Source organism: Homo sapiens, chromosome 20 (assembly GCF_000001405.40).
Source record: "Homo sapiens chromosome 20, GRCh38.p14 Primary Assembly".
Lineage (NCBI taxonomy): Eukaryota > Metazoa > Chordata > Mammalia > Primates > Hominidae > Homo > Homo sapiens.
This window is the reverse complement of record NC_000020.11, coordinates 49,064,832-49,092,793: the sequence shown is the minus strand read 5'-3', so window position 1 is coordinate 49,092,793 and position 27,962 is coordinate 49,064,832. Positions and strand designations below refer to the sequence as shown.

Below are 27,962 nucleotides of genomic sequence, written 5' to 3'. Positions count from 1 at the left end.
CATGTGCACAACGTGCAGGTTTGTTACATATGTATACATGTGCCAAGTTGGTTTACTGCACCCATTAACTCGTCATTTACATTAGGTATTTCTGCTAATGCTATCCCTCCCTCTGCCCTCCCTTCCCCTGCCCCCCATCCCACGACAGGCCCCAGAGTGTGATGTTCCCCGCCCTGTGTCCAAGTGTTCTCATTGTTCAATTCCCACCTATGAGTGAGAACATGTGGTGTTTTCTGCTGTTAGTTTTAATAAGGCAGGCTCCTGGAGACAACACTGACCATTTAACATAATATAGAACACTGGCTGTGGAGAATGCCAGTGTGTAGAGTAGATGGTCCTCTAATCTAGAGGATTAGAACAATGATTCCAGGGTGTTTTTTCTTTTTTTGAGATGGAGTCTCACTATATTGCCCAGGCTGGTCTCAAACTCCTGAGCTAAATCCGCCCTCCTCAGCCTCTCAGAGTGTGGGATTACGGGCGTGAGCCACCATGCTGGGCCAGGATTACTTTTTCTTTACTCCCAATACCTAAGAATATTTTGAAAACCATAGACACTATCTCCATACCAAGAACCACATCATCATCTATAAGACAGAGATACTGATTTGTACTAAAAAAAAAGTCAAAACATTTTCTTCCTTTAAAAAATAATAAAAACAAACTTACTTTGGTTGTATACCATCAAATATTTCTTGTAGTGCTAGTGCCCCATATTTTATGCAATACAAATTAATAAAGACTAAAAAACCTGTTGAAAGAAGATGCAGAATATCAGCATAGAGAACTCACGCACTAAACTGGTAACTGATAAGTCTGCAAAATAAACCTATGCTTAATCATTAACATCCAAAGGCTGTGGCATCAATACCTGCCTTCTAGTAAATAGAAAACTTGTCTTTCTGTCATAGACCTTTACATGCTGTCTCTCTTTGATTTATATTTCCTTATAATATTCTCTCTACTGAAAAAATGTTTTGGTATCCAACCATAAACCAACCTCTGGAACACAATATGACTAACACTAACTTAATGTTTGGAGAACACAAACATCTTAAAATATTTTCTTTTTTCTTGTGAGAAGGTTTCACTCTATCACCTAGGCTGGGTGCAGGAGCGTGATCACAGCTCACGCAGCCTTAACTTCCCAGGGTCAAGTGATCCTCCCACCTCAGCCTCCTGAGTAGCTGGGGCTACAGGCACACACCACCATGCTTGGCTGTTTTGTAGAGACAGGGTCTTACCATGTTGCCCAGGCTGGTCGTTAACTCCTGGACTCAAGGAATACTCCCACTTTCACCTCCCAAAGTGCTGGGATTACAGATGAGAGCCACTGCACCAGGCCCTTACAATATTTTCTTTTTTTTTTTTGAGACAGGGTCTCACTCTGTCACCTAGGATGGAGTGCAGTGGGTGTAATCTTGGCTCACTGCAGCCTCAACCTCTGGGACTTAGGTGATGCTCCTACTTCAGCCTCCCAAGCAGCTGCGACTACAGGCACATGCCACCATGCCTGGCTAATTTTGTTGTACTTTTCGTAGGGACAGGGTTTCGCCATGTTGCCCAGGCTGGTCTTGAACTCCTGAGCTCAAGCGATCGGCCTCCCTTGGCCACCCAAAGTGCTGCGATTACAGGCATGAACCTCCACACGTGGCCAAGTATTTTTTGCATAAAGTTTAAAACGGATAAAAAATGTATCTGCAACCATAAAGTCTAAGGGTTTTAGCTACCTTCTTTCATTACTTCTGTAGAACATCCAGATGATTTTACTTACTCTTGATAAACTTGGTTGTTTTGGAATTCTGAAGTCTCTGGAATAGCAGAATGAAGATTTGTTTCCTATATTGGTCAACTGATTCACTAAAGAATTAAAAAAAATCAACAATATAAATTTAGGACTTTTCTGAGCACCTAACAAAATTTCTAAATAAATGCACAAAGTTCTAGTCATACTCACGGAGGCATGTGCTCTATTATACTGTTTAGAAGATAAAAACCTTGGTGGTCATTTGCTTTGGATGCAATCAGCTTCTGAAAGACACCTAGTAACCCAGGCTGTTAAGAAATGAGATCCAACAGAAAATGGTTAACAGGAATAATTATTCGAAAAGTTAAACATGATATATGTCTTAAAACAGAGTTCATACTGTAATAATCTATCCTTTTCTCTTTAATTATTTCTGAAACATATGGGGAACAATTCCTCCCGCGTAGCCATTAAAGTAATTTTTTTTTTCTTTGAGACGGAGTTTCACTCTTGTTGCCCAGGCTAGAGTGCAATGGGGCGATCTTGGCTCACTGCAACCTCTGCTTCCCAGGTTCAAGCGATTCTCCTGCCTCAGCCTTCTGAGTAGCTGGGATTACAGGCACGTGCCACCACACCCACCTAATTTTTATTTTTAGTAGAGACGGGGTTTCGCCATGTTGGCCAGGCTGGTCTTGAACTCCTGACCTCAGGTGATCTGCCCACCTCGGCCTCCCAAAGTGCTGAGATTACAGGTGTGAGCCACCACGCCCGACCAAAGTTAAGTTCTTAAAATCAACCTGTTTGGCTCTGTTTTTAAAATTTTCCATCATGGATATAAATAACTAAAGGATACAGAATTCTGATAAAACATACCATAACATTTTCTACTAATTATTTCCGTTATTATTATTATTATTTTTTTTAAGAGACAGGGTCTAGCTCTGTTGCCCAGGATGGAGTGCAATGGTGAGATCATGGCTCACTGCAGCCTTAAACTCCTGGGCTCAAGCGACCCTCTCACCTTAGCCTCCCAAGTAGATGGGACCACAGGCATGCTCCACTGTGTCCAACTAATTAAAAAGCTTTTTTTTCCTTTGTAGAGATAGATCTCACCACGTTGCCTAGGCTGGTCTTAAACTCCTCGGCTCAAGGGATCCTCCCACTAGAGGCTCCCAAAGTGGTGGGCTTGAGCCACTGCCCCCAGCCTTAAATTTATTTTAAATAAAAAAATTTCAAACATCTGCCATCCCCAGTTTCTCCAAGCTACTTTATAAAATTACAGTTATATCAAAACCTGACGCACAATTTTGTCAGCTGCAGCACTTGCTATTGTGTTTGAACCGCGTTCTAAGAATGCTTGAAGAAGCCTCACTAGAGCAGGAATATTTCCTGTTCTTTCCCAAAGCACTGGCTGAAGGAGATGAGGAAATAAGGCCATATAGGAAGACGGGATGTCATTTTTGTGTGTTTCCAGAAGCAAAGACATCACTTGAAAGACGTATGGAATAAATTCTGTTGATAAAAGTAAAAACAGAGCTGTGAGCTTCAGAAGGAATGACTGACACAAAAGGCCCACATCGCTTAGGTGGGCTGCATTTTATAGCCATGTTAATTTTATTCCATTACAAAGAAAATAATTTCCGTTAACTTACCTTGCACATCATTTTGTAAGATTTCAGTAAACACCAAAAACAAAGCCTCCTCAAAATTTACAACAGCAGCAGGGTTAGCTTTGCAAGTTATTCTTATGGATAAACATATTGCTTCAAACATGTAGTGATTAAAGTGAGGTTTGCTTGGGTTCTGAAATTAAAAAAAAAAAACCTAATTATGCTAATAATCCACACCTAACCTTTATAAAACACATTTAAAATAGAGGCCATCTTATTTTTTAAAAATCAAAATTAAGAAAAAAACACCAATTATACCCTAGTGCTTGTTCATTTGAATTTTTTTTTAAATGGCCCAAAGTCCACCATGAAAAAAATACTTCAGAGTTACAGAGTTGCTTATACAAACCTCAGATCCCAGAGCTGTAACTTGTCTTAAGCCCACGTGCCCTCGCAGAGAAGAAATACTAAGTCCTAGTAATGCCACTAGCCTTAACTTCTGTGGGCCTCAATGTCTATGTCTACTTACTGATAATCCCCCAAATGAGTAGTTTTTTATGTTCTTTTTAAGCAACAAAACCCCATTTTTCTTTAAACAAGTTCTTGGAAGGCTACTAGCATACAAATCTAACTCAATCAGAACATGAGATGGTAATACATATGGGAGGCGGAGACTTGGGTTCCCTCCCCGCTCCATCCCTCAAGGCCCTAAGTAGTCCAAAGACCCTTAGCCCTAACTCAGTTGAATAATAATCACTCTGTTCTCCAAAATCCCTCCAACACTTCCTATGAATTGATCTAATTCTCATAAGATCAAGAATAGCATCTAAAAAGGAATTCTGTCAGCCTTAAACGGATTTATTTTCTAAAATTTAGTGTTAATAAACATGAATCTAAGTATCTGTAAAATTTTGATCAGAGTGAACTTTCCTTTTGAGAAATAAGAGTAAGGAAGAAAAGACAACACAAAGGATTTTAATCATCATTTCATAGAAGTCCAGACAGCCTCTTTTATATCCATTTAGTGCAAAGCCTACTTAACTCCATTTAAGGTAATTTTGGATCATCTGCACTTTCTTTTTCTACAATAAACATGTTACTTTTGTAATGAGAATGAAAATGTATTCAAGCTTCTAGCACACACTTAAAGGTGACTGCTATTACGTCTCCAATCTAACAGCATGCCCACACTTTCAGAAAAGTCCATTAGTGGCTGGTCAGGAAGAATTCACAGACCTTCTCTAAAGCTTCACGTAATGCCAAAGAGTTCTGAGGCCCAAACAGTTTGGAGCAAATAAAAAAGGAACCCCACTTTCAAAATTGGCTCTATTACCTTACTAACAGCTAATAGCTTCTGTGTAAGCTGAGTGATGAGAGTAGGGATGTAGGGGATTATGGCTTCTTGTAGGAGAGAAAAACTTCTCATGATAGCTGTAAAATACAAAAACAGCAAAAACAAATAGAGTTTAGTTAAACTTCAGAATAAGAGAGCGACTGGGGGGAAAAAAGCGCACTAATTCATCAACTAAATTTTAAGATGCTTAGACAACCCCGAGATAGCTCTCTACATTTAAAAATAATCTAAATTTCCCTTCCTTTTAAAATTAGGACGGGTTGGCAACAAAATTTAGCTGGGAAATACTGAGTATTTCTAGAAGGCTCAAGGTTTAAAAAATAATTAAAGAGGTTGACTAAGAGGAAGAAACAGTGAGCTGACATGAATGGAGCAGGTGAGTCTGAGAGAGAACTGTTTGGGGTCTCTTTCTCTTAGAAATCAGTAGCAGAGGCCATGCTTGGTGGCTCACACCTGTAACCCCAGCACTTTGGGAGGCCGAGGCTGGCGGATCACTTGAGGCTAGAGTCTGAGACCAACCTGGCTAACATGGCAAAACCCATCTCCATTAAAAATAGCAAAATTAGCCAGGTATGTGGTGCACGTCTGTAGTCCCAGCTACTCGGGAGGCTGAGGCTTGAGAATCGCTTGAACCTGGGAAGTGGAGGTTGCAGTGAGCCAAGATCATGCCACTGCACTCCAGCCTGGGAGACAGAGCGAGACTCCCTCTCTCTCTCAAAAAAAAAAAAAAAAAAGAAAAAGAAAAAGAAACCAGCATCAGAAAATGTTTAGCCCTAGCCTAAAGGAAACATGATCACAAACTACAGGAAACTGAAGAGAAAACTGCCTATCCACCTCCCTCAAAAAAAGAGATTAGGAGCCTAAAAAAATTCTAAAAATACATGTAAAGCCACAGAGTCCAAATTGCAAAAATATTGCTCAAAAGACCATAAATGGGTTAAAAATAGGAAGCATGGGAGAAAAATAAATTTGTCAGCTAAAAATGTATAAAAGCTCTCTTTCCACAAATAACATTTCTAAAATAAATGTTTACTAAGCAGAGCCCCAAATACATGCCAAGCATAAAGGACAGAAAGCTATCTGCTCTTGCCTCCTGAACTCTGCACATCATGTTTCCTCCTCTACTGGAGTCAAAGACTCATCCACCCTTCAACAGATTGCTACCTATCCCTCACACCTAACGTTCGGTTAGGTCATATCTCAGCTTAGAGATCACTTCCTAGAGAAAATCCTTCCCTGACCTGGGTTAAAAGGGCTAGAGGATAAATTGGTGCTCCTCCACTAGGCTGGCGCAGAATTATTTCATTCACTCATACAACCGTACAGAGAAGGTATTACATACTGTGTATTCTTACATACCCTAAAAACACAGTAATGAAGATTACAGACTAGTTAGCCGCTCTCATAGAAATGGACATTAAGGCTGGGCGCAGTGGCTCACACCTGTAATCCCAGCACTTTGGGAGGCTGAGGCGGGTGGATCACCTGAGGTCGGGAGTTCAAGACCAGCCTGACCAACATGCAGAAACCCTGTCTCTACTAAAAATACAAAATTAGCTGGGCATGGTAGCACACGCCTGTAATCCTAGCTACTCGGGAGGCTGAGGCAGGCGAATCGCTTGAACCCAGGAGAGTGAGGCTGCAGTGAGCTGAGATTGTGCCATTGCACTCCAGCCTGGGCAACAAGAGTGAAACTCCATCTCAAAAAAAAAAAAAAAAAAAAAAAGGACATTAAACAACAATAATTACACAATTATACATCATTGTTGGGGGAAGGATAGTGTTGGAAACATACACCCAGATACACACATCCACTCTAGGATTTCTGATCCAGACTGAAAAGATCAGGGAGTTTCTCTGAAAAGTGCTTCCTACAACCCAATGTGCTAGGCTTTTGGGATGCAACAGTGAAAAACACTGAGACTATCTCTAAATTCAGAGCTGGCACCAGGACACTCAACTAATGTAGTGCCTGGTGGATGGATACACCAGCCTGTGGATGGATACAGCTGCCTGTGTCCTTGGCAGTACGTAAGAAGACACGATTTGTGCAGAGTCTACCACAGGCACCCACATTTCACCCCTACCTAGGTGAGCATGCAGTTAATAAACGTTGCATGATCTCTTCTTTGCCTTAAAGAAACTCAATCTAGGGAAGGAAAAAAGGGCTTTGCTACATTTTCTGTAATGAGAAGTTCCATATCAAATTAAGATTACTGTTGGCCAGGTGCAGTGGCCTCTAATCCCAGCACTTTGGGAGGCTGAGGCGGGCAGATATTTGAGGTCAGGAGTTTGAGACCAGCCTGGCCAATATGGCAAAACCCTGTCTCTACTAAAAATACAAAAATTAACCGGGCATGGTGGAGTGCACCTGTAATCCCAGTTACTCGGGAGGCTGAGGCAGGAGAATCGCTTGAACCCAGGAGGGAGAGGTGGCAGTGAGCTGAGATCAAGCCACTGCACTTCAGCCTGGGCAACAGAGCAAGGCTCCATCTCAAAAAAAAAAAAAAAAAAAAAAAAAAATTATTGTTAGTAGTAAACAAGATAATGTTTTTCATTTTGAAATATCTAAACTAACTTACTACTTGGTAAACATTATCTGGTTCATAGACTGTATAACCTGAAGTATAACTCAGAGTGCTCACCCTTACAATCTGAGATTGGATACCTGTAGTCTGCACACCAGGGAAACAGCCTACCTTTCATAATATATTCATTTTCTGAAGAGCCAGGAAGTGTGAGAGCTTTGAAAAGGTTTGTTAGCAGAATCTCAACAAACGGTGCGATTTCTGCAGCTGTAAAGCTATAGATGAAAAAACAGCTTTCAGTCACTACCAACTCTTGAGCTTGTCACTGCAGATTACCCTTGGCAACCACTATGTCACCCTTCTCAGCATAAAACTGAGCCATCTCCCACCACTGACAATTGATAGACAGTTTAGGAAAATAATTTTTTTACATGTGCTCATGTTAGGCTCCTAAGAAGGCACATCGAGAACCAAACACAACTGAACCAAAAAGCCAGCTAAACCCAACAACATCTGAAGTTGAAACAGTTGTCCCTGGTTTATATCTATTACCACTGAGAAAGAACTCAGAATCTCAGGGGACTCTGTCATTTATTTTGTTTTTGGAGGTGGAGCCAAGATTCAGAACTGTTTTCTGCATAAATTCTGGGCCTGAAGATAGGTACTGGCTTGACTCACCTCAAAGGATGTCCTTTCTACCCTTAATTGGCCACTGAGAGTATCTGTACTTCAAGTTCTTGATGAAGGAAAGAACCTAGAACTGTTTTCCATCTCTTACCCAAAGCTCATTTCAAGAAATAATACTGTTGAATAGTGGCCTGAAAGACATGCAGACCATCCATTCCTCTACATTTCATCCTGGTTCAGGCCAGAAGACCTATTTTCTTGGTCCCCAGTGAATTACTTTCATTCGGTTAGGTCATATCTCAGAAATAAGTGACCTTACGCAAATAGCCACATGAAAATAACTGTTACATGATTGTTGCTGAGAACACTACTACTACTATTGTACAGTATTCTCTGCTTTAACTTTTATCTCATAGACCCTGTGAAAATTTTAACTTCCCAAGTTTCCCTCTTTGCCCTGGCTGCTAAGAGACTCCAAATAAAATTTGGAGTTTCTTGGACTACTATATAGGATCCTTTGACACACATTTCTGTTTATTAACTTTATCTCAGTTACTTTCCTTGGCTCCAGTTTATTAAATTGTATTGTCATAATGCACCTATTTTAGTAAGCAGCCTCAAATGCTTTTAGAATGAAACAGAGTATAAAGGAATAGAAAGCAGACATTTGTTTTCCCACTAGTGAAATTATGAAAACATTCAGATATCTTTGACCAGCACAGTACAGCCCCTACCCCAGGCTAAAAAACTTTAGAATAAAATACTCACAGAGTGGCATTGTTAGGCCCTCGCATAGTAAAGAGCCGTTCAAGAGCATGAGCTGCGTAAGTATGAACAACAATACTTTCAGCTTGAAGATGATTAATCAAGAGAGGAATCGAGACTAAAAGATGTTCTTTTGGCACCTAAAAAACACAATAATATACATGCTCTAAATGCAATGATTCCATATTTGAGTAAAAGACAATTGGAAGAGAAGGACCTGTTGATTTAAAGAACAATTTGCTATTTTTAAGCTCTGTTATAATAGGAGATGCTGCTGCCCAGAAACCAAAACTTTCACTTGCACATAATGGTTCAATTTCCACTTTCTAAATTCTCCTTTTCAGAGCACAAAACTATGAGGATAACATCTTGCAGATAAATCAACATACCATAAAATAATAATATCACAGAGAAGGAGACTAAGATTTCACCAAACTTAAGAATCATCACTAGCAGATATTTCTTGAAAAAGTTATTTAACCTTTTTGTGTCTCATTTTTTGTTCTCTTCCCACCCCCAAAAAGCAACAAATACGAGAACAATCTTCATTAAAAACCTCTAAATTTGAAACATTCATTAGTCTAAACTAGAAAAGCCTCCTGGGTGTGGTGGTTCATTCCTGTCTATAATCCCAATACTTCAGGAAGCCAAGGTAGAACAATTGCTTAAGCCCAGGAGCTCAAGACCAGCCTGGGCAACATAGTGAGACCTCATCTCTATTAAGAAAAAATTAAATAAAAAATTAGCTGGGCATGGTAGTGAATTCCTGTAGTCCCAGCAACTTGAGAGGCTGAGGTAGCTGGATCGCTTTAGGCACTAAATGAATAACTCAAAAATGATGTTAGGCCGGGCGCAGTGGCGGCTCACGCCTGTAATCCCAGCACTTTGGGAGGCCGAGGTGGGTAGATCACGAGGTCATGAGATCAAGACCATCCTGGCTAACATGGTGAAACCTCTACTAAAAATACAAAAAATTAGCCAGACGTGGTGGCATGCGCCTGTAGTCCCAGCTACTCGGGAGGCTGAGGCAGAAGAATGGCTTCAACCCAGGAGGCGGAGGTTGCAGTGAGCTGAGACTGCACCACTGCACTCCAGCGTGGGCAACAGAGCAAGACTCCATCTCAGAAAAAAAAAAGAAAAAAGAAAAAAAAAAAGATGTTAAGGACAAACAGTCATGATGTAGGTGGGTACGGTGGAGCATGCCCGTAATCCCATCAACTAGGGAGGCTAAGGCAGGAGGATCGCTTGAGTCCAGAATTTCCTGGCTGAAGTAAGCTATGATCGCACCACTGCACTCCAGCCTGGGCAACAGAGCAAGACCTCATTCTCAAAATAAAACAGAAAAGGCCAGGCACGGTGGCTCATGCCTGTAATCCCAGCACTTTGGGAGGCCAAGGCGGGCGGATCACAACGTCAGGAGATCGAGACCATCCTGGCTAACACAGTGAAACCCCGTCTCTACTAAAAAATACAAAAAAAATTAGCCGGGCATGGTGGCGGTAGCCTGTAGTCCCAGCTATCGCGAGGCTGAGGCAGGAGAATGGCATGAACCCAGGAGGTGAAGCTTGCAGTGAGCCAAGATCGTGCCACTGCATGACTTGATTGTGTTACTGCACTGAGCGACAGAGCGAAGACTCCGTCTCAAAACAAACAAGTAACAAAAAACAGAAAAATGAAACCCATAGTATGATGTCATTTATACAAACAAAAATTTAAAACCTAGGCCAGGCGTGGTGAATCACGACTGTAATCCCAGCACTTTGGGAGGCCAAGGCGGGTGGATCACCTGAGGTCAGGAGTTCAAGACCAGCCTGGCCAAGATGGCAAAACCCTGTCTCTACCAAAAAATTGCTGGGCGTGGTGGTGGGCACCTGCAGTCCCAGCTACTTGGGAGGCTGAGGCAGGAGAATGGCTTGAACCTGGGTAACAGAGCAAGACTCCATCTAAAAAAAAATTAAAACCTACAGCATACTAAATAATTTCTGCAGAAACATAAACACATAGTGAAAGTATAAAAAAAGCATGGCTTGAACCTGGGCAACAGAGCAAGACTCCATCTAAAAAAAAAAAATTAAAACCTACATAATACTAAATAATTTTTGCAGAAACATAAATGCGTAGTGAAAGCGTAAGAAAAGCACTTCCATGGGTGTCAAATACACCGAATTCACTACAGTAATTACCTATAGAGAGAAAGGGACTGACTGGGCAGGGAGCACCTGGAATACCTCCATTGTATATGTATGTATACATAAATATGGCCTGGAGTTTTAAGATTTGTGAGGATTATTTCAGTAATCATCATATTGTTTTATTCCTGCTTGTGTGTTTAAAATATTTTGCAAGATGGCACCATTGTTACTGGGCAAAGACATCAAAGAAATAAGATGAGTGCAAGTTTTGATTTTTTTCTCAGTACAATTAAAGTGACCTAGGCATTCAGAATCAGAAGAAAAACTACACGTTCTCTAAAAATTAAGACCAATAATCAGATAGAAAAATGGGCAAAAGAAGATGAATTCACAGTTCACCGAAAAGAAATGAAAATGGACCCTTCAAGTGGAAAGATGCTTAACTGAACTCAAAATAAAACAAACGTAAATTAAAACTGCAATGAGATACCATTTAAGATTGGCAAAATTCCAACATACTCTAACTGGGGAAGCAGGTATTCTCTATAATTTTTCTCAATTGATTTTTTAAAAGTAATGCAATATGGCTGGGTGTGGTGGCACGTGCCTGGGTTCCAGCTACTCGGGAGGCTGAAAGTGGGAGGACTGCTTGAGCCCAGGAGTTCAAGGCTGCAGTGAGCTGTGGTCATGTCACTGCACTCCAGCCTGGGCGACAGAACGAGACCCTGTTTCAAAAAATAAAGAAATGGGCCGGGCGTGGTAGCTCACGCCTATAATCCCAGCACTTTCGGAGACCGAGGCAGGGGTGGATCACCTGAGGTCAGGAGTTTGAGACCAGTCTGGCCAACATGGTGAAACCCTGTCTCTTCTAACAAGACAAAAATTAGCTGGGTATGGTGGCAGGCACGTGTAATCCCAGCTACTCAGGAGGCTGAGGCAAGAGAATCACTTGAACCTGGGAGGTGGAGGCTGCAGTGAGCCGAGATCACACCACTGTACTCCAGCCTGGGCAACAGAGCAAAACTACCTCTCAAAAAAAAAAAAGAAGGAGAAAGAAAGAAACAATAAACTAAGTAAAAAGTATAAAAAATTAGCCAGGTGGTGTGGCACACACCTATAGTCTTGGCTACTCAGGGAGGCTTAGGCAAAAGGGTCACTTGAGCCTACAAGTTTAAGGCTGCATTGAGCTATGATTGTAGTAGTTCACTCTAGACTGGCCAACAGACTGTAAGACTTTGTCTCAAAAATAAATGAATAAGGCCGGGCGCGGTGGCTCATGCCTGTAATCCTAGCATTTTGGGAGGCCGAGGCAGGCGGATCGCCTGAGGTAGGGGGTTCGAGACCAGCCTGACCAACATGGAGAAACCCCGTCTCTACTAAAAATACAAAATTAGCCAGGCGTGGTGGTGGATGCTTGTAATCCCAGCTACTCAGGAGGCTGAGGCAAGAAAATCGCTTGAACTCGGGAGACGCATGTTGCGGTGAGCCGAGATCGTTCCATTGCCTGGGCAACGAGAGCGAAACTCCGTCTCCAAAAAAAAGAATAAAGTATATCTCAATTTTTAAAATGCTATTTAAAAAATGTTGACAATGTAACGTTCTCCTTCATCTGAATCCACTGATCTGTCTTAACATCATTAAAAATTGATAACCAGGGCCAGGCATGGTGCCTGACGCCTGTAGTCCCAGCTACTTGGGACGCTGAGGCAGGAGAATGGCGTGAACCCAGGAGGCTGAGCTTGCAGTGAGCAAAAAAAAAAAAACAAAAAAAATAAAAAAAAACAAAACAACCAGATATTGTGTATATCCTGATAAAATGAAACAGAAAGTATACCTATGATGCTTTCTTGTGTCACCCCCGACCAAGGAATCTAAGTCTAATCAAGCCCCCAGATTTACCAATATAGAAATATGGGGACTAGAGGGACAACATAAACTTCAGGAGACCCTTGAACAACACGGGTTTGAGTCTTGCTCTGTTGTCCAGGCTGGAGTGCAATGGCATGATCTTGGCTCACTGCAACCTTCGCCTCCTGGGTTCAAGTGATTCTCATGTCTCAGCCTCCCGAGTAGATGGGATTATAGGCATGTGCCACCACACCCAGCTAGTATTTTTAGTAGAGATGGGGTTTCGTCATGTTGGCCAAGGTGGTCTTGAACTCCTGACCTCAAATGATCTGCCTGCCTCAGCCTCTCAAAGTGTTGGGATTACAGGCACAAGCCACCATGCCTGGCTGGATTTGTTTTAGACCAAATGCAAATAGAAAACACAGTATTCCTGGGATGTAAAATCTGTATGTGGAAGGCTGGCTTTTCATATATGAGGATTCCGCAGGCCCAAATGTGGGACCTAAGTATTCATCAATTTTGGGATATTCAGGCGTCCTGGAACCAATACCCCTTGAATACTGAGAGATTCAAGGTGCAATCAGCCAAAAGTAAAATGTGAGAAAGTCTCTAAGATAAATGAGTGTTTTCTCCAACAACAAGCATAAGAAAGGGTAGAGGCCAGGTGCAGTGGCTCACAGCTGTAATCCCAGCACTTTGGGAGGCCAAGGCTGGTGGATCACCTGAGGTCAGGAGTTTGAGACCAGCTTGGCCAACATGGGGAAACCCCATCACTACTAAAAATACAAAAAATCAGCCAGGCGTGGTGGCAGATGCCTGTAATCCCAGCTACTAGGGAGGCCGAGGCAGGAGAATCACTTGAACCCGGAAGGCAGAGGTTACAGTGATCTGAGATCAGGCCACTGCATTCCAGCCTGGGTGACAGAGTGAGATCCGTCTCAAAAAAATAAAAAAAAATTTTTTTTAAATAAATAAATAAAAGGAAAGGAAGGCAGTTGGGTGCAGTGGCTCACACCTGTAGTCCCAGCACTTTGGGAGGCCGAGGTGAACAGATCACCTGAGGTCAGGAGTTTGAGACCAGCCTGGTCAACATGGGGAAACCCCGGATCTACTGAAAATACAAAAAATTAGCTAGGTGTGGTGGCAGGTGCCTGTAATCCTAGCTATTTGGGAGGCTGAGACAGGAGAATCACGTGAACCCAGGAGGTAGAGGTTGCAGTGAGCCAAGATGGTGCCACTGCACTCCAGCTTGGGTGACAGAATGAGACTCCATCTCAAACAAAAAGTGGCAGAGAAGGACCTCTCTATTGTAAATTAAGAGACTTAAGACACAATCAACTGTAAGCAATGTGTGGACATTATCTAGATCCCAATTCTATTACTATTATTGCAAAAAGACATCTGAGGAAAATTAAGCATGGTCTAAAATTCTAAGTTATAAAGAAATCATTGTTAATTTTGTTAGATGTGGATATAAAATGACTGCACAGTAGATGAGAAGGTGGTACATAATAAAACTCTTAAAGAGATTAAGTGGCGTGTAACAAATAAAAAGCTACTTACTTGATTTCTAAAAATCATAATATATTTGATACCGTCAGCTTTAAGGACAGGAAATTCATTCACTATATAAAAAAACAGAAAGCCACAGTTACTTAAGTGGTAAGGATCATTACTTCCAAATTAGTGACATCATCAGAGTTATAAAAAAAGATAAAATGTCAAGTAATTAAAGCACAGTTAATTATATTATGATTTACTATTTAGTCATTAATTTTGGTAGGATTATAAATGATTTTATTTTTCCCCATGCCTGTTTCATGACTAAGGAACACATATTACATAATTGAGTAAAAATGAGCTGGACCATGCATCGGTGAGCATGTCTACCTACATTCCCAGAAGTGAAGCTATTCTGAATTAGAAACATGTCTCTCTAGCTGGAATTTGCTTTACATTATTCTAGTGGGTAGGGAAATAAATTAATGAAAGGAATAGATCACCAAATGTTAATAATTCTTGAAGCTAAATGATGGTCACATGGGAGCTCATTACAATATTCTCTTCACCTTTGGGTGTACATAAATTTCCTACATTAAAATATTTTTTTTAAAAAGGAATATATCTGGATCTAGATCAATACATTCATAAACATCAGAAACTATCCTTAATTTTTTTTTTTGAGACAGAGTCTCGCTCTGTATCCCAGGCTAGAGTGCAGTGGCACGATCTCGGCTCACTGCAACCCCTGCCTCCTGGATTCAAGCGATTCTCCTGCCTCAGCCTCCCAAATAGCTGGGATTACAGGCACACGCCACCACGCCCGGCTAGTTTTTGTATTCTTAGTAGAGACGGGGTTTCACCATTTTGACCAGGCTGGTCTCAATCTCTTGACCTCACGATCCTCCCGCCTCAGTCTCCCAAAGTGCTGGGATTACAGGTGTGAGCCACCGCACCCGGCCAAAAGATATCCTTAATATTTATCAATTTTCTAGTACTTTGAAATGTACTCCAATTTTTAAGAATTCGTCTTTCAAATAAAAAAGAAAAGGAAGCCAATGTATAATCCTTATTTATACACTAGGTAGCAAAGCTGAGTTACAGTTTAGTTGTATTTATTCCTATTTTCCTCCTAATCAAGCAATATTTTCTTTATCAATAATTAATTTCACATGGACAAGATCTGGGGAAACCATTTGAGATTTTATTCAATAAAAGAAATAATAGGCAGGGCATGGAGGCTCACGCCTGCAATCCCAGCACTTTGGCAGGCCGACGCAGGTGGATCACCTGAGGTCAGGAGTTTGAGACCAGCCTGGCCAACATGGGGAAACCCCGTCTCTACTAAAAATACAAAAATTAGCCGGGCATGGTGGTACGTGCCTGTAGTCCCAGCTGCTTGGGAAGCTGAGGCAGGAGAATCGCTTGAACCCAGGAGGCAGGAGTTGCAGTGAGCAGAGACTGTGCCACTGCACTCCAGCCTGGGTAACAGAGTAAGACACCATCTCAAAAGAAAAAAAAAAAAAAAAAAAGAACAAAAGGGAACAAGGATAGGAAGCTGTTTTTTGAATTCAGGTATAGTGTGGCAAGCTGTAAAAAAAGCAAGAATTTCACAACTCACCATTAGCTGATTTTAAATCAGGGAGGATGTGATTCACAAAGAACTCAGTTAGGTTTACAAGTTCATTTGCTTGTGTAATTCCATGCTGAAAAGCAAATTCATAACATAGTAAAATAACAAAATACCTGTATATATCTATCACATTAGAAATTCAGGCAATTTTAGAAAACCATGTTAAAATGGAGATGAACACTTCAAAATACAAATTGCTTATGTATAAAATGAGACTGTACTGGCTGTGTACAGGAGCTCACGGCTGTAATCCCAGCACTTTGGGAGGCCGAGGCGGGTAGATCACTTGAAGTCAGGAGTTCAAGACTAGCCTGGCCAACATGGCAAAACCCCGTCTCTACTAAAAACACAAAAAATTAGCCAGGTGTAGTTGCATGCACCTGTAATTCTAGCTACTCGGGAGGCTGAGGCATGAGAATTGCTTGAACCCGGGAGGCAGAGGTTGCAGTAATCTGAGATGTTGCCATTGCATTCCAGCCTGGATGACAGAGCAAGACAACGTCTCAAAAAAAAAAAAAAAAAAAAAAAAAAAGAGAGAGAGGGACACTTCAAAACATGAACTGCTTAGGCTAGGCATGGTGGCTCATGCTTGTAATCCCAGCACTTTGGGAGGCCAAGGCAGGTGGATCACCTGAGGTCAGGAGTTCAAGAACAGCCTGACCAACATGGAGAAACCCCATCTCTACTACAAATACAAAATTAGCCAGGGTGGTGGCGCATGCCTGTAATCCCAGCTACTCGGGAGGCTGAGGCAGGAGAATCACTTGAACCCGGCAAACGGAGGTTGCGGTGAGCCAAGATCGTGCCATTGCACTCCAGCCTGGGCAACAAGAGCGAAACTCCGTCTCAAAACAAAACAAAACAAAACAACAACAACAAAACACAACCTGCTTATGTATAAAATATAAAATAAGACTATACTGTCTAGGCACGGTGACTCACACCTGTATCCCAGCACTCTGGGAGGCTGAGGTGTGAGGATCACACGAGGTCAGGAATTTGAGACCATCCTGACCAATATGGTGAAACCTTGTCTCTACTAAAAATACAAAAATTAGCCAGGTGTGGTAGTGCACACTTGTAATCCCAGTTACTTGGGACGCTGAGGCAGGAGAGTCGCTCGAACTCGGGAGGTGGAGGTTGCAGTGAGCTGAGATCACGCCATTGCACTCCAGCCTGGTGACAAAGTGAGACTCCATCTCAAAAATATAAAAATGTAAAATAAGACTATACTAATAGACAATAAAGAAACTTTCCTCAATTAAAGAACAGCTAAGTTTAAGTTAAGCATATTTGATACAGCGGGTCTCAGCTAAGGTAACAAGTGTGGCCATCTATCAATTTTCTGGTCTATAAGAAACTTAAGTGCTCAATACATCAACATAAAGCCATCTTCAGAGATTATATAAATCTTAATCAGAATAGGTTATCTGGCAGAGTAAGCTCTATTATCAGAGACGTTATTTCTTTTTGACTTGTGTGGGTGTCACTGATGTCTGTTTTAGAAACAAAACCACATTAAAAATATTTACCTTCTGTGTTTGGGCTTTTGATGCCAAAGATGTCACTAGGTAGATGGCTGCATCTTTGTGTTTCCAGTTGACAGATGGATTTTTTGCGTATTCCTGCAGCATGGAATTAACATAACCAGAGAAGATTCCTGTCACAGGTCCCTCAAAAAACTTGCATAATCCTCGTACCAGATCACAAGCAGCCCTGCGTCTAGTATCAATATCTATGAAATGAAAAGAAAATATATTATGGGGAAAAAAAACAACCACCAACAAGCTGATCCAATTTATAAGAAAACAAATTGCCTGGAATAATTTGGCTACGATTGTAAAACGGAAAAAAAAGAACGAAAAACAAAGGGCCACCCAATAGCTATCAGCAACACAAACAATGAAAAAAACATTCCCGCCCCCAAGAAATACAAAATCAAAATGAAACTAAAGAGGTCACAGAATCACAGAATTTTGATAAATACTATGTAAGAACAGACAAATGATTCAACTTTTGATATTTTCATTCAGGTCATATAAGAGCTTTTTAAGACAAGTTGAAGAAAGACAACAGTTCTCAATGAAAGCCCGCTGAAAAAACACTCTTATTCTCAATCCCACTTCTCCCATTTACTAGAAAGAGAACCACCTTAAAACTGGCTTGCTAAGAGACTAGTAACTAAAAAACCAAGATACACACCAGATCCTTCCAAATCTCTCCTTATGTACTCCTCAGAATTATCTTCAAATGCTTCTTCATCAGCAGCTACAAGGAGAGATGATATTTCAGATAACACTCCAAAAGACGTCACTGTACTTTACAGCTGAGAATGCAGAAGAGTATGTAAAACTGCCTTGTTCTACAGCAAAGAATTCGTTCCCATCAGATGACTACTTCATATACTCTTAATCATTATCTAGAGCAGCAAATGCTACCCTGAAAGGTGAGGTATTAGGTAATTCACACAACTATGAGATAGGCTCACTTGTTCTAATGTGACAGTTTCCCCAGAATTGGATTATACCTGCAACTGTCAAAAATGTTAGGGATCAGTATCAGAATGCTAACTTTTAATTTCACCAAATAAGAACATTAAAATACCAACAACCTAATTTTAATCACTATTATTTCATTAAAGTCATTTCAACAACAAATAAGTAGAGTGGACAATGTCAGAAATGGCCGGCATGGTGGCTCACGCGTGTAACCTAGCACTTTGGGAGGCTGAAATGGGAGGATCGCTTGAGCCCAGGAGTTTGAGACCAGCCTGGTCAACACAGCGAGATCTCATCTCTATTTTTATCATATAAATTAAAAAAAAAAAAAAGTCTACACACACACACACACACACACACACACACACACACACACACTGCAGTTGTATGATCATGTCTCACTGCAGCCTCCACCTCCTGAGCTCAAGCAAAACTCCCACCTAAGCTGCTTGAGTACCTGGGACCACAGGCCCATGCCACCATACCCAACTAATTTATTTATTGTAGAGATAAGGTTTTGCCATTTTGGCCAGGCTGGTCTTTAACTCCTGGGCTCAAGTGTTCCTCCCACCTCAGCCTCCCAAAGTGTTGGGATTAAAGGTATGGGCCACCACACCCAGCCAGAAGATTTATCCTTTAAACATATTTTTATGAAAACACAACAGGAAATAAAATCTCACGCTATATTGTCCTTAATTTCCTTATTTTGTTCCAGATGTAATTTGAAAACCACTGATCTAATAACTATTTTGATATAAAACAAAATCTTGGCCTGGCATGGTGGCTCATGCCTGTAATCCCAGCACTTTGAGAGGCTGAGGCAGAAGGATTGTTTGAAGCTAGGAGTTTGAGACCAGCCTGTGCAACATAGGAAGACCCCCATCTTTATAAAAAATAAAAAACTAGCTGAGCATGGTGGTGCACGTCTGTAGTCCCAGCTACTCAGGAGGCCAGGGTGGGACAATGACTTGAGCCTGGGAAGTTGAGGTTGCAGTAAGCCATAACTGTGCTACTGCACTCCAGCCTGGGTGACACAGTGAGACCCTGTCCCCAAAACAAAAAACACAATCCCTCCCACCTTCATTACTTGTTCTTCACAACTGTTAGAACAAGGACATACATTTTATAAATATAGGCTCTTAGCACTATAGTTTAACCTTAAGCACAAACTAAGTGGGCTTCAACCTTGTATTTATAAAGTTATCATTTCTATTCTCAAGTCGATTGTTTAAAAACAGCTATTTCTGGGCGAGGTGGCTCAGAAATGCAATCCCAGCACTTTGGGAGGCTAAAGCGGGTGGACTGCTTGAGCTCAAGAGTTTGAGACTACCCTGAACAACATGGTGAAACCCTGTCTCTACCAAAAATACAAGAAATTAGCCAGGCATGGTGATGTGTGCCTGTGGTCCCAGCTACTCAGAAGACTGAGGTAGGAGGATCACTTGAGCCTGGGAGGCTAAGGTTGCAGTGAGCCAAGATTGCATCACTGCACTCCAGCCTGGGTGACAGAGCGAGACCCCTGTCTCAAATAAATATATAAATAAATAAAGCCAGCTAAAAATTCATTGAAATAATAAATGAAACAAAATCAAATTCTTTCTCTAAATAGAAATTCCAGATAGTTTATCTTCTTAGTGTAAAGGAATTTTTGAAGTCTTATTTAATATTTCCATGAGAAAACCCTCACAGGGCACAACAAAACTCATTACAGATACTACATTTTCTGTCTTGGTTTAGAAAATAAGAAATAAATGACATACAAGTTTTATCCAGTAATAAATGAATTAGACTGAATATGTTACAAAAAACAAACACAGACTTAGTAGATTTATACTAATATACTTTTGCCATAATTACCTCTAAATTCCATGTTAGGCACAATAACCTTTTCACAGATACTTGTCAGCGTGTTCTGGTCCTCAAATAGATTCTTATAATGAGGTCTCTCACAAACTGAAGCCAGAAATTGAATTGCATTACTTACCAACTGGAACAAAACACAAAAACAAGAATATTTTTAAAAGCAAAACTCAACAGCTTATTTCTTGGAGGAGATAGGGAGAGAATGTCTTTTAATTATTTGTCTCCACCATCATCTTACCAAATCATATTTAACCTCTTGACCCGTTGTAACTAGTAAATTCCAGATGGCTGTAACAAAACGAGGCAGGTATCGCTGGAATTCTTCATCGTACTTTTGTGCATAGAGTGCGGCATTATCACAAATCTGGGATTTTAAGAGCTCCAATAAGCCGGCTTCCTCTTCATCCTCACATAAAAGAAAACAAAAACTCCAACATACAACTCTAATGCTAACATAAGTAAGAGGAGTAACTGAAATTCCTGAACTAGACTCTTTATCAATTAAATCCAAATCAAATCAGTTATTGTAAACTACAGCTATGCCACCACCAATCTTTTCACCAAGTCTTTCAAATAAGTTGCTGAATTACAAAATATTTCCGTATTAGATTCAAACAGTATATTCTGGCTGAGTGTAGTGGCTCACGCCGGTAATCCCAACCCTCTGGGAGGCTGAGGCTGGAGGATGGCCTGAGGCCAGGAGTGGTTTTTTTTTTTTTTTTTTGAGACGCAGTCTCCCTCTGTTGCCCAGGCTGGAGTGCAGTGGCGCGATCTCAGCTCACTGCAAGCTCCGCCTCCTGGGTTCACGTCATTCTCCTGCCTCAGCCTCCCAAGTAGCTGGGACTACAGGCACCCGCCATCACGCCCGGCTAATTTTTGTATTTTTTTTTTTTAGTAGAGACGGGGTTTCACCGTGTTAGCCAGGATGGCCTCGGCCTCCCAAAGTGCTGGGATTATAGGCGTGGGCCACTGCGACGGGCCAAGCCCAGGAGTTTTGAGTCTAGCCTGGGCAACACAGCAAGCCCCCAAAATAAAAAAAATCAGCTGGGCATGGTGGTGCATACCCATAGTCCCTGCTACTTGGGAGGCTGAGGTGGGAGGATCACTTGAGCCCAGGGAGGTCGAAGCTGCAGTAAGTCATGATCATGCCACTGCACTCCAGCCTTGGTGACAGAGTGAGACAAGGGAAGACATCAGAGTAAGAACAAAAACCAAAGCCAAAACCAAAACTCCCTCACACTGATTACTTAAGGCATAAATAGTAGCACAAGGTAGCACATGGTTAACTGGGCAAAAAGGTCCTTGTAAGAATTCTATCCAAAAAATTTCCTTGTGACTTTTGTGTGAAGAAAAGTTTTGTTTTCTGAAGGAGTGTTTTTCCCTCCCATTGGACTGAAATAATTATTTTATGAGAGCTACATCTTTTAAAGTTCCTATTAATATAGTCAAACTCTGAGACAAAATCTGTTGTACAACGATAGTAACAATTTCTTTCTGTACCCCACTCTTAAAACCTGATTTGAATCACCAATTCTAATTTTTAGTTTATTTGGTATTGAAATATTTTTAATATTTTGTCTTTTGTCTCTTCGGAAAGAAGGTCATAAATATATTAACAAATGAGTAGCACAGAATAAGTGTTATATGTTTAAAAGTACACAATATAAAACCCATATCAGAAATATTTACAAATTACAATCTTTTACCATTTTCTCTCTTTCTCGAGCTGTGGATAATTTTTTCTTTTTCTGAGACGAGGTCTCCCTCTGTCTCCCAGGCTGGAGTGCAGTGGCATGGTCACAGCTCATTGCAGCCTTGCCCTCCTGGGCTCAAGGTCAAGGGATCCTCACAACTAAGCCTTCTGAGTAGCTGTGACCATTAGCATGAGCCAACACATCTGGCTAATTTTATTTTTATTTTTTGTAGTGATGGGGGTCTCCTTACATTGCCAAGGCTGGTCTTGAACTCCTGGGCTCAAGGGATCCTCCCCACCTTGGCCGCCCAAAGTGCTGGGATTACAGGTGTGAACCACCATGCCTAGCCAGATGATTTTTAAAAAGGGGCTACCATTATAGAGTTTTAAGTTTTCTTAGTATCTTCAATGAAAAATAATTTTATTTCATGAAATATCCATAATGTCACTACTTTAAAGACCTACTTTCAATAATGTAATGAAACAGCCTTATATGTACACTATGGCTTAAGCCAAGCCCATGATAAGAGTAATTCTGTATACTACACACACCAAACATGTAACATCAAATAGAATCAAATATTATTACAGTATTGAAATTTTATCTTTTAACAATGCAAGAGTAAATAGGTTTCCAGACTGTAGCCAAATAACTCTTAATGAAAGAAAAAGACCACTCAGGCAACATTTTAAATACTTACATCAGTTTGTAAAAGCTTATTATCCAATGTTAAGAGAGTATGAAAATTATTCATCCAAGTTTCCATATTATCTTCAAAAAATTCAGGGAGATCCTACAGAATAAACACTGACTTGAAACTTTTGATTAAAATATTAAGAACACCACTTTTATAAGTTCCCTTACCACGTGGACAAAACATTTTATACACAGGCTTCACAGCCTGAGCATTACCTATTCTGACAAGAATTCTCTGCTCCAGCTACATCTGGCAGCTGCATAAAGCATTCTGACTTCTGCCTCTGTTTGTATGCTATAAATGATGCCACCTCTAGTTCTCATCCTAATCTAAATCTTCCTTCAAGGTTCAGCTAAGACTATATGAAGACTTTCCTTACAAAGCTCAAGCTCAGTGCATACTAATACATCCCCTTTCTTTTCTGAACTACGTTTATTGTAAGATGACCACCAAGGCAGATAAACTAATTGTCTTTTAGTTACTGATTTCTTGTGGCATAGTACTGCCTTCTTAATGAGGGTACAAGTCCCCTGAGGGTAGATTATGCCTCTTTCCTTGGTCTCCCTGCCAGACAAGTTCTCAAGAGCTTCATTAAACCTGACTTCTCAGAATTCAAAAGGTGTAAGCAAAAATAGTAGTACTCATTTAAGTAAGAACTTCTCAAACTGCTATCCAGCTGAACACTGATGTGGGACATGTCCTTTTGGGCTGTTCATCTCCTATTCTAGCTAAAACAACCCAATTTCCTTTTGGGGAATGCTTTCCCTACCACTATGAGTTTATTCATGTTGTGAAGGTAAGTCCAGGTACTGGCTACAAACAATGAATGGGCTAGGCCCTCCTTGCATCGCAGTATAGCAACAGTTTGTACCAATTAACACCCCTTTCTTGGTCCTGAATCTTGAATTAATGATTAAGAACAGAAAGAATGATTGGAGGCCACTATCTCAGTAGCAACAGGGTAACTAGGCATTCCCTGCTATAGCCCTGTGGCTATGTTTCCTCTGAAATACTACTAGTTCCTACCCCTTTCAAAGTCTGGTACTTCAAGTCTTTTGTCTCCCTCATATGGCTTCCAATAAAAGTCATTTTGTATAAGCTGGACAGCAACCCCTAACCAAAACATGATTCCCCAAATGTTAATACCCATATAAATGAACGAAAGAGGAAGGCCTCAGAAATCTAGCTTCTTAATGCCACCAGTAAAACAGTGTACAGGGTGACTCTCCAAGAGTGAGTTAGGATGTGGGGTTTTGCTAACCTACTAGATATAAGAGAATACTGCTTTTTTCCATGAAACATCTCATTAGCATCTGAAAGAACTACTGTAGAACAGAACACTATAGATAAATAGAGTCAGAAAAAACCTTTTCTTTCAGAAAAATCAATGCTGGCAAAGAAGTCTTTATCAAACAGAAAGAAAACTCTATTTAAAATCAAAGAGTAAGAACCAAAAGCAAGAAATCAAATGAACTTACCTGAAAGTTTAAACTATAGAACAATTTTGAGATCAGGATCAGGGAAGAAAACAGAATCCTCAGGGCAGAGGCATCATTTGCATGGGTACTGCAGAGTTCAATAGTGGCCTTGGAAAGGAATTTAGCAACATGGTTTTAGTGCATCATAAACCCAGCATGCTGATCTTAGTGAAACAGCCTTGCACTAAGCTGAGACTATTCATATTTTACTTATTTATTTTTTTGAGACGGAGTCTTGCTCTGTCGTCCAGGCTGGAGCGCAGTGGCACAATCTCGGCTCGCTGCAAGCTCCACCTCCTGGGTTCACACCATTCTCCTGCCTCAGCCTCCCAAGTAGCTGGGACTATAGGTGCCTGCCACCACGCCCGGCTAATTTTGTTTTTGTTTTTTGTATTTTTAGTAGAGACGGGGTTTCACCACGTTAGCCATGGTGGTCTCGATCTCCTGACCTCGTGATCCGCCCGCCTCGGCCTCTCAAAGTGCTGGGATTACAGGCGTGAGCCACCATGCCCAGCCTTGGCTTTTAAATAATACAGTCACTTAAGAGATTGTGGAAAATAGGTTAAAGTATGTATTTTTGAACTGTTCATAATGGCACTAAAAAGTCCAGTGTTAATATTCTGAACTACGTCTTCCCAATCTGTGCATATATAAAAATATATTACACAAAACTATCTTTATATGCTCTTATTAAACAATTCATCTGCCACTTGGTATTTAGGTTGTTTCCAATTCTTTATTATTCTAAATGCGATTAACAGGTTTTACTGGCCAGGCCCAGTGGCACAGGCTGTAATCCCAGTGTACTCGGAGAATTGCTTGAACCCGGGAGGCGGAGGTTGCAGTGAGCAAGAGCGAAACTCCATCTCAAAAAAAAAAAAAAAAAAAAAAAAAGAGAGAGGGAAAAAAAAAGAGAAAAAGCAGCCAGGCATGGTAGTGTGCACCTGTAGTCCCAGCTACTTGGAATGCTGAGGTGGGAGAATCACCTGAGCTTGGGTAGTTGAGGCTGCAGTGAGCTATAATCATGCCCCACTGCACTCCAGCCTGGGCAATGAGAGTGAGACCCTGTCTTTAAAAAAGAAAAAAGAAAAAAAGTATATATATATTTCTTTAAATCTTATAGGATTTTCACAAACACCAAGAACACATTCAGGAAAGTATCCTGTAAACTGTAAAATAATGTATAAATATATAATTAATTAAACTCCAAACATAGTCAAATAAAAATATGTATTTCTTCCTTTAGAGACACATACTTTAAAATACTTGGGTGAAATGATATGATGCTTGGGATTTGCTTTTATAACATTCCTAAGAAAGGGAACAGAGAAAATAAAACGTTGCTAACCATTAAATTTGTGTAATAATAGATGGGAGTTCACTATAGCATCTCTATTTCTGTGTAGGTTTGAAATTTTTCAAAAGAAATGCTCTAAACATTATCTATCAAATAAGCTTTCAAAGCATTCTCTTAACATGTATACAAACATTCAAGCAATTTAAAATATTAATTTAAAAATATCACCAAGATGCATTCCATACCTTAAAAAGATTAGTCAAAGGCAAAGCAAAGGCATCCAGAACAAGCTTAATTTCAGTCCATAACTCGTTTGACTTAAATTCATGACGGTATCTAGAAAATTAAGGTAAAACAGATAAATTTACAAGTTTTTTTTATTTACTCACTTTAGGTCTTCAAGGAGAGATGCTGATTGGACATCTATGAATAGATGGGTTTCCGAAATTCCGAAATTCAAAGGGAATTCTTTTTTTTTTTTTTTTTTTTTTTTTGAGACGGAGTCTCGCTCTGTCGCCCAGGCTGGAGTGCAGTGGTTTGATCTCGGCTCACTGCAGCCTCCACCTCCCAGGCTCAAGTGATTCTCCTGTCTCAGCCTCCTGAGTAGCTGGGATGACAGGCACATACCACCATGCCTGGCTAGTTTTTTTTGTATTTTTAGTAGAGACGGGGTTTTACCATGTTGGCCAGGCTGGTCTCAAACTCCTGACCTCAGGTGATCCGCCCACTTTGCCCTCCTAAAGTGCTAGGATTATAGGTGTGAGCCATCATGCCCAGCCAGTTTTCTTTTTAAAGGGATCAAGCAGTTTATCAAGACTAAGTATTTCACAGGTAATAGAGCAATATGAAATAAACATCCTAGTTGAGAAGAAACAAACGCAATACAGAAACTTCTGCTCTCATTCCAAGATGATCAGATTCAAAGGAATGACAACAGTCACAAAAACACAACTGTTTACACAAGCAAATAAAACTTTAGAAAGTATTTTAAAAACATGAATCTATGCATCAATACCTTTTAAATAATGAATGTGCTGTACGGAGGACTCCATTAATAACATGGAAATCTCCACTCTGAAAGCGATTCACCATTTCTGTCAGCAAGTCAGGCCATTTCTGTGGAAAATCTTCTCTGCCAATAATGCTAATTGCATCACTTAACTAGGAGAGGAAAAGATTAATTAGATCAGAGCTTTACAGAGGAGCCCATCTAAAAAGTGGAGCGACATTACCTGCTTCTGAATTTGCTCTGGGCTGCTAAGCATCAAGTGCACTATGTTGGCTTTAATGGCCACTCGATCGGCTTCACAAATTTTGTTTGGTTCATCTTCAACCTAAAAGCAAAGCAGTAACTGAGGAAGTAACACAAAATCCACATTCATGTCCACATGATTTTAGGTAAAACATAACTGTTTTTTTATTTACTAATTTTCTAAGAAAACAAATAGAGGAAGGTTTGGTCTTTCTTCAGTTTCCCTCTACATGAATGGGTCACAGATTCCTTCAATAATCTGATGACAGCGTGAATCCTTTTCCCAGAAAAACGTACATTGCCTCCCAAATGCAAATATTTTACATACAAATTAGTGAACTTCCCTTACTCCTTGATGCCAATTAAGAATTTCCATTTTAGACTGGGCGCAGTGGCTCACGCCTATAATCCCAGCACTTTGAGAGGCCAAGGCAGGTGGATCACCTGAGGTCAGGAGTTTGAGACCAGCCTGGCCAACATGGTGAAACCATGTCTCTACTAAACATACAAAAATTAGCCGGACATGGTGGCAGGCACCTATAATCCCAGTTACTCGGGAGGCTGAAGCAGGAGAATTGCTTGAACCCAGGAGGTGGAGGTTGCAGGGAGCCGAGATGGTGCCGCTGCACTCCAGCCTGGGCAACAAGAGTGACTCTGTCTCAAAAAAAAAAAAAAAAAAAAAAAAAATTTCCATTTTAGGCCAGGTGCGATGGCTCACTCAAGGTCAGGAGTTTGAGACCAGCCTGGCCAACATGGTGAAACCATTTCTACTAAAAATACAAAATTAGCTGAACATGGTGGTGGGCACCTGTAACACTAACTACTCAGGAGGCTGAGGCAGGACAATCATTTGGACCTGAGAGGCAGAGGCTGCAATGAGCCAAGATCGCACCATTGCATTCCAGCCTGGGCAACAGAGCAAGACTCCCTCTCAAAAAAAAAAAAAAAAAAAAAAAAAAATTTTTTTTTCATTTCATATGTAAACTAATCAGGACACATAATTAAAATCTTTACAGATATATGCTACTTAATCCATACACATCCTCAAAAGCTTCAATTTAACTCTCACTTTAGAACAAAAATCTTTCCAATTTTTTTTATTCTTTTTTTTTTTTTGAGACTGGGTTTCCATCTGTCACCCAGGCTGGAGGGTAGCACAAAACCTTGGCTCACTGCAGCCTTCACCTCCCAGACTCAAGACAATCCCTCCCACTGCAGCCTCCCAAGGACCACAGATGCACACCACACACGACCACACCTGGCTAATTTTAAATTTTTTTGTAGAGAAGAGGGGTCTCACTTTGTTGTCCAGGCTGGTCTCCAACTCCTGGCCTCAAGCAATCCTCCCATCTGAGCCTCCTAAAGTGCTGGGATTACAGGTGTGAGCCACCATACCCAGCCCTCTGTGAAAATTTCTTGACCATTACTAGTTAGAATGCATC

The 27,962-nt window shown here is 40.8% G+C and overlaps 1 protein-coding gene across 4 annotated transcripts in view; it reads right to left on the bottom strand.

Moving 5' to 3' along the window:
* Positions 1 to 27,962, bottom strand: part of CSE1L (chromosome segregation 1 like) — a 50,638-nt gene that overhangs the window by 4,156 nt on the left and 18,520 nt on the right. For 2 of the 4 annotated variants that reach the window (NM_001362762.2, NM_001316.4), the window contains exons 4-22: positions 26,501 to 26,602; positions 26,284 to 26,429; positions 25,514 to 25,604; positions 23,972 to 24,079; positions 22,497 to 22,589; positions 20,341 to 20,508; positions 20,097 to 20,226; positions 17,944 to 18,009; positions 17,274 to 17,476; positions 15,730 to 15,814; positions 14,172 to 14,233; positions 8,632 to 8,768; positions 7,408 to 7,511; positions 4,688 to 4,785; positions 3,397 to 3,547; positions 3,048 to 3,256; positions 1,955 to 2,052; positions 1,772 to 1,857; positions 667 to 748 (exon numbers count right to left, since the gene is read on the bottom strand). In NM_001362762.2, coding sequence (NP_001349691.1) covers positions 667 to 748; positions 1,772 to 1,857; positions 1,955 to 2,052; positions 3,048 to 3,256; positions 3,397 to 3,547; positions 4,688 to 4,785; positions 7,408 to 7,511; positions 8,632 to 8,768; positions 14,172 to 14,233; positions 15,730 to 15,814; positions 17,274 to 17,476; positions 17,944 to 18,009; positions 20,097 to 20,226; positions 20,341 to 20,508; positions 22,497 to 22,589; positions 23,972 to 24,079; positions 25,514 to 25,604; positions 26,284 to 26,429; positions 26,501 to 26,602 — 2,219 coding nt within the window. The remainder of the gene's footprint in view (positions 1 to 666; positions 749 to 1,771; positions 1,858 to 1,954; positions 2,053 to 3,047; positions 3,257 to 3,396; positions 3,548 to 4,687; positions 4,786 to 7,407; positions 7,512 to 8,631; positions 8,769 to 14,171; positions 14,234 to 15,729; positions 15,815 to 17,273; positions 17,477 to 17,943; positions 18,010 to 20,096; positions 20,227 to 20,340; positions 20,509 to 22,496; positions 22,590 to 23,971; positions 24,080 to 25,513; positions 25,605 to 26,283; positions 26,430 to 26,500; positions 26,603 to 27,962) is intronic. The other 2 variants (NM_001256135.2, NR_045796.2) reach the window with 2 other exon arrangements.